The sequence below is a fragment of the Homo sapiens genome, chromosome 1 (assembly GCF_000001405.40).
Source record: "Homo sapiens chromosome 1, GRCh38.p14 Primary Assembly".
In the NCBI taxonomy this organism is placed as follows: domain Eukaryota; kingdom Metazoa; phylum Chordata; class Mammalia; order Primates; family Hominidae; genus Homo; species Homo sapiens.
Genome location: NC_000001.11, coordinates 227,691,551 through 227,698,106, shown reverse-complemented (window position 1 = coordinate 227,698,106; position 6,556 = coordinate 227,691,551). Strand labels below are relative to the sequence as shown.

Below are 6,556 nucleotides of genomic sequence, written 5' to 3'. Positions count from 1 at the left end.
AAATGGAACATTTCTTAGAGGTCATGAGCATCTTAGGATCACAAGATTCAAATTGGACTACAGTGTTTTGAATATAGTGGACGGAGGAATGCCTTCAACGTGGAGGCTATATTAACACATAAGAGTGCTTCTATGGGAAAGACCTCTTGTAAATCTAATAAATGTGGGAAAGCCTGTAATGAGTCAGCTACTATTGCTCAAGAGCTAACTCAGGTAGGGAGGAAAACTTTTGAACGTCATGTATGTGGGAAAATATTCAGTAAGAAGCATAAAGTCACTGAACATAAGAAAATACACTCAGGAAAGAAACCTTATAAATATAGTGAATATGAGAAAGCCTTCATTAGCCAATCATGTGTTACAAAACATCAGAGAACACATACAGAAGAGAAACCCTATCCATGTGCCATATGTGAGAAATCCTTCTGTCAGAAATCAAATCTAAGCGTTTATCAGAGAATCCACACAGAGGGAAAATCCTATTTTGCTAAAAACATTTTGGCAGCAGTCAGCACTCAGGGTGCATCAGAGAACTCACACAGGGGAAAAACCCTATGAATGTAATGGATGTGGGTTGACCTTCTACCATAAGTCAACCCTCACTATCCATCAAAGAACTCACACAGGTAAGAAGCCATTTGAATGTAAATAATGTAGGAAAACATTCTGCCGGAAGTCAGCCCTCCCAGTATGTCAAAGAACTCACACAGGTGAACAACCGTATGAATGTAAAGAATGTAGGAAAACTTTCTATGAGAAGGCAAATCTCAATGTACATCAAAGAACTCACATAGGGGAAAAAACCCTATGAACATAATGAATGTGGAAAAAAGTTTCATCACAAGTCATACCTCAGGGTGCATCAGGGTTTTCATATAGGCAAGAAACCCTATGAATGTAACGAATGTGGGAAAACCTATGAGAAAGGAATCCTCACTAGCCATCAGAGAAATCACACGGGGGAAAAACCCTATGAATGTAATCAATGTGGAAAACCCTTTGGCTGGAAGTCAAGCCTTAGGTCGCATCAGAGTATTCACAGAGGGCAGAAAACCTATGGATGTAATGTATGTAGTAAAAGCTTCCACCAGAAGTCAGACCTCACTAAACATGAAAGAATTCACACTGGGGAAAATCCCTATGAATGTAATGAGTGTGGAAAATCCTTTGGCTGGAAGTCAAGGCTCAGCCAACATCAGAGATCTCACATAGGGTAGTAAAACCTATGAAAGTAATGAATGTAGGAAAATATTTTGCCTAAGGTCAGTCATCACTGGACACAGAGAACTCACATAGAGAAAACCCTGTGTAATAAATGTGGAAAAAACCTTTTGCTTGAAGTCACAGCTTAGCAGACAGTAGAGAAGTCACAGAGGAAAGACATCAGATATTATTCTTCAAAAAGCATTCCCTTTTATCTAGGACACAGACTTTGTCTACATTTCTGGGCATTCCAGTGTTGTGGTTGGGACCATGTAAAACAGAGTTGTATAGGATAATGTGGATAGAAGTGATGAACATTATTTACAGGCTTCACAACAATAGTCTTGATGGTCCTTCCTGATTTATTATGCCTTGTAGGACTGAAGTTCAGCTGACCTCCAGAGTGACCGGGGAGCCATTAGTTTGGACCTGGTCACTGATTTAAGAAAGGAGGAATTAAATAGTGTAGAGATCTTTCCACCTCCACTCCCAAGAAATTCCCCTTTGTGCTTTAAATACCTGATCTCTCAAGCCATTGTATGTGTGATTTGTTTGCTTTACACTACAGCCCACTCTAATAATTTAGGAACTTTCTGAGAGAAGTTACTGTCTTCTGGCAAAGCAGCCATTGTAGCACCGATGGAGTCACCCTTTCCTCAGCCCTGGCCCAGGTCTATGGTTTGCACCTGCTAATCAGGCCCCATCTTGTCTGAGATCCAGCTGTGCTTCTACTCCCACCAAGTGGTGGCACACCTGTTCCAATATCCAGGCTCCCCTGAATCCCCAGTGGCTCCTCTTTCACCTATGCATAGCGACCTTCAGGGACACAGAATCCAACTCTACACCTGCAGAGAAGCAGTGGGAGAGGACAGATTTCTGGACTTCCAAAGGAAAGATGGTGGGATTTGAACTGAACCAGAGAGTCTGTCTTGCTCCCTGTAGATCAGGACCTGATGGATCAAGACTGCTCTTTGTCCATATGACAGTGCTGTGGAATTTTGTTTATTTATTAAATCCTGGATTGATAACCCGTGATATTATGGCAAGAATTAGGAGATTTGAATGTAGACCAAGTGGTTGATATTAATATTAATAATTAGCTTTAATATATTAAAGGTATTATGGTTATAGACCAGATGTCTGTTTACAACAGGTGCACCCTAATGCATGAAGAATTGTCTGTATTTTTGTAAGTTTATTGAAGCAGAAATTAATGTGTTAACCGTCTTTGAATCCATTAAAAAGATTTTGTTCTTACCCAGTAAACTAATTTGGGTGTCTTCAATGGATTATCTTAGCTGGAAAAACTGCTCTAGTGTATATCATGGGGCAAAATAGCAGAGGCAAAGGCAGAGTCATGGAGGTAAATCTACCCCATAATTCTTCAGCCAGTTCATACTCCATGTATCTGATAAATTTTTATCCATACTTTGAAATTCCATTGGTCCCATTTCACCCAAGCTTTACTTAGTTCTTTTATGAGACAGACTTGAACTTTGCTTTTCCTTCCCTGCTTTAGACAAGAAGTTCCACACGGGTTTCTCATAGTTTCCACTACCACTTTTCCTGTTCAAAGGGAAATGCTGGCTAGGTGTGGTGACTTACTCCTGTAATTTCAGCACTTTGGGAGGCTGAGTTGGGAGGATCCCTTGAGGTTGGGAGTTTGAGACCAACCTAACAACATAGTGACTCTGTCTTTACAAAACAAACAAACAAACAATTAGGCATGGTGGTGCCTGCCTGTAGTCCTAGCTACTCTGGAGGCTGAGGTGGGAGAATCACTTGAGCCCAGGAATTGGAGACTGCAGTGAGCTATGATCACACCAGTGTACTCTAGCCTGGGCAACAGAGTGAGAACCTATCTAAAAAAAAAAAATGAAAAAGAAAAAGAAAAGAAAAAAGAAAGAGGGATAGGGAGGGAGGGAAGGAACTAAAGGACAGAAGGAGGGAAGGAAGGAAGGAAGGAAAGGAAGGAAGGAAAAATGCTGAGGTGGAGTCATCCAGGTTTATGTGATCTTGACTTTGGTGCAGTAATAGGTTGAGGCTGAGAGGCTTTGTATTTTGCCCTCTTTGATAAGGATTGCTAAAATCTGTCTTGATGGGTCTCAGTGTTCTTTCTATAAAAAGGGAGAGTTTAATACACATTTCCAAGTGTTAAGTCCACCTCGAATATAAACGCAAAAAGTGCAATTACTTTTCTCCCCCTAAGAAAGTAAAGTGGTCAGAGCCAAGAGGAGGAGGCTCAGAGATGAGTCTTAGGTGTTTACAACACTAGCCTTGAATTGTAATGTTCAGTGTTCCAGTTTTCACTGCTTTTGTTAAAATTATTTTTGTTTGGCTTTTGATACTATTGCAACTAAAATTGTTTCTTTTATGTATTGTTCATTTTTTATGTCAAGAAATACAATTAATTTTGTATACTGATCTTGTATCCTGTTACCATACTGAACTTTTTTATTCTAAGGTTGTGAATTCCTTATGATTTTCTAAATACAAGATCAGGTCAAGTGCAAATAAAAATAAGTGTACGTAATACTGGCCAGGCGCAGTGGCTCACACCTGTAATCCCAGCACTTTAGGAGGCCGAGGCAGGTGGATCACTTGAGGCCAGATGTTCAAGACCAGCCTGGCCAACTTTGTCTCTACTAAAAATACAAAAATTAGCTGCGCATGGTGGCGTGCACCTGTACTCCCAGCTACTCAGAGGCTGAGGCACAAGAATCGCTTGAACCCAGGAGATGTAGGTTGCAGTGAGCCGAGATCATGCCATTGCACTCCAGCCTGGGTGACAGAGTAAGACTCTGTCTCAAAAAACAAAACAAAACAAAACAAACAAACAAACAAAAAAGTATAATAATCCTTTTCAAAATAGATGCATTTCAATTTTGCTTGTTGCCAAATTGTCCTGACTAGCACCTCAATTTTGTACAATGATAAGTAGATGTGACAGTGGATATATTGTTTTTTTATCTTAGGAAATACTTACACAGGCTTTCACCATTAAGAATGATGTTAGCTGTGGGTTTTTCATGTATTCTTTACCAATTTGACTGTATCCTTTTCTATACTTAGCTGAAAGTTTTTATTGTCAAAGAATGTTGAATATTTTCAAACCACAGCTGTGATCCCCAGCTAGCGATCAGGCCCCTGCAAGTCAGAAAGGGAAGGACGGGACGCCAAGCTTGCAACCCCACCACAATCACATAGCACAAGAGATTATAGAAACACCAGTTAGTAAGAGGTGTATTTCACTCAGTAGAAGACAGAAACTACAAAGAAATCAGCCAGTCCTCAAAACTAAGATCAAGAGTGATCACAGGATTTCTGAGTGACTTTCTCAGCCAGGAGACTGCCCCTGTTAAAGATTCAGTGGTAGGAGGGAGCAATTAGGAAGTAACAGGTACTGACAATCTACTGGAGCCCCAGGGAGCTGTTCCAAGAGGATAAAAAGGCTGAGCACCTGTCAGCCACCACCCAGCACCAGCCGCAGCTGCAGCAGAGGTGGGTGAGGAACCCTCACATGCCATCCCTCCCCAGGAATGTGCCCCAAAGAGGTCTCTTCCTCCTGCTCCACATTCTGTGTGTCTGCACACCCACTGATGCTTCTCCATTTCTTCCCACTCTTCATTTTCCCATCCCACCCTTCTACCTCATCCCTTCCTACACAGACTGAAGCAGGAACTAGAAAAGTGTAGGTCAAGACCTGCCCAAGTCCAGAGCATGCAAGAGGTAAGGATGGCCCAGAAGGAGTGAGCAGAGAACCGAGCTCCTGAAGGGGACTGGAGGCAAGAGGGCAAGGAGGTTCCTCAGAGAATGGGCTGCATGGAGGGATGGTTCTATAGAGACGCAGCCAAGAAAAAGGTGTTGAGGCAGGGAGCTGATGGGGCAGAAGGGTATGGTGAGGGTAGGGAAATATGTGGCGACCCTCAACCCTGATGCTGATCTAATGAAAGTCAGTCCCCAGCCCCTAAGAATTTCTGAGGAGAAACCTAGTGTTGCCCATTGAGCAGGGCCTGATTCCCTCCTAAGCTGAGAAGACACATCATGCCTTGCCCTTTGGGAAAAAAGGCAGTATTTTGCCACAACCTACCTCATCTGAGCCTGTTTGTGGTGGAGTAGGTGTTAAGCACAGGTCCTATATGCAGGCCTCTGAACAGAATGAAATGGGCTGACTGCCTCTTGTCCTGGACAAAGTTATCACTGCAAGTGCTCAATAAATGCTTACCTACACCCCAGGTCTCTACACTACTCATTTCTAGGACCTAACAGGCTGTTCTGGGCCCCCAAGCATAGGGATGCAGTCCTGAGACCCTCTAACAATGGGCCCAGGATGTTTGGAGCAGTGATGACTCCTTCCATTCCTGCACAGACTCCCAGTATTATTACTTTTTAAAATAAAATCAGGGAGCTGGGATTCAAAGCCAATAAGTTCCATGCTGTGGTCCCTTCTGGTTCACTGAGAAACTGTAATTTGAGACTGCATGTAGTGTGTGTTCTCATGGACACACATTAGGTAACAGACACTTGTCAAACCTAATATGTGAGAAATCCTCAGTGTGCAGGGAGTCATTCAACTAGCTTAGTCATTCAACTAACTTAAAATTGTGTACATTTGAGGCATATTATAAATCCATGGAAATGCGTTGACATAATTAAGGTCATGATGTGCTCCAAATTCTGTGTTTATGCATCTTGATACATTAAATTAACACCAAAGAGGTGTCTTCCCTTGATAGGCTTCCACAGTAGGTAGGCTGGTTACACCATGGAATTGGAGACAAGAGTCCCTGGAGATAACCGTTTCCACAGAAAAGTAAGAATGTGGCAAGGATGGAAACTTCTTCAGTCACTCTGGGATATTAGGCAACAAACCTAAAACTTAACCTTTCAGCTTTCTAACTATGATGTGGCGTTAATCATTTCTGTGTTATAAATGAACTGGCAATAAGCTACAAAAATATATCAAGTGGAAATTAGAAAATATATAAATATAAAGGCTACTAAGATATATTTAAAAAGTGCATTTCAGCTAACCCATGATTAGAAGTAATTTATAGCCTTGGTTTATTCATTATGATACAAGAAAAACAATAAATGATTAGTTCAATTGATGAATAAGATGCCTTCATAAAAATTCAACCAACTACTCATAATTGTAGGAACTCATGAAAACTAGAAATAGAAGATAGCTTCCTTCATACATATAGATGAAATGTTTAAAGCATTTTTGGCTGGGAACAATTCAAGTATGCCTAGCATATTCAGATATAACAGACCATCATACTTTAAGTTTTAGACTGTGAAATAGATAAAGGTATAAAATTTATGATTATGCAGTTAATATAATCTACAG

At 41.1% G+C, this 6,556-nt stretch overlaps 1 pseudogene across 1 annotated transcript, besides 1 other annotated feature; it reads left to right on the top strand.

Moving 5' to 3' along the window:
• The first annotated feature begins 399 nt into the window (after positions 1 to 399).
• Positions 400 to 1,075, top strand: ZNF847P (zinc finger protein 847, pseudogene; annotated as a pseudogene). Its single transcript, NR_036753.1, has 2 exons — positions 400 to 522; positions 941 to 1,075. The product of NR_036753.1 is annotated as a zinc finger protein 847, pseudogene (transcript).
• Positions 5,433 to 5,647: a silencer, noted in NCBI's record as "fragment chr1:227880161-227880375 (GRCh37/hg19 assembly coordinates)". NCBI's record gives its function as "represses an EF-1alpha promoter that drives an FKBP-Casp9 reporter gene in an ReSE screen in K562 erythroleukemia cells {active_cell/tissue: K562}" and the evidence as "EXISTENCE:reporter gene assay evidence [ECO:0000049][PMID:32094911]".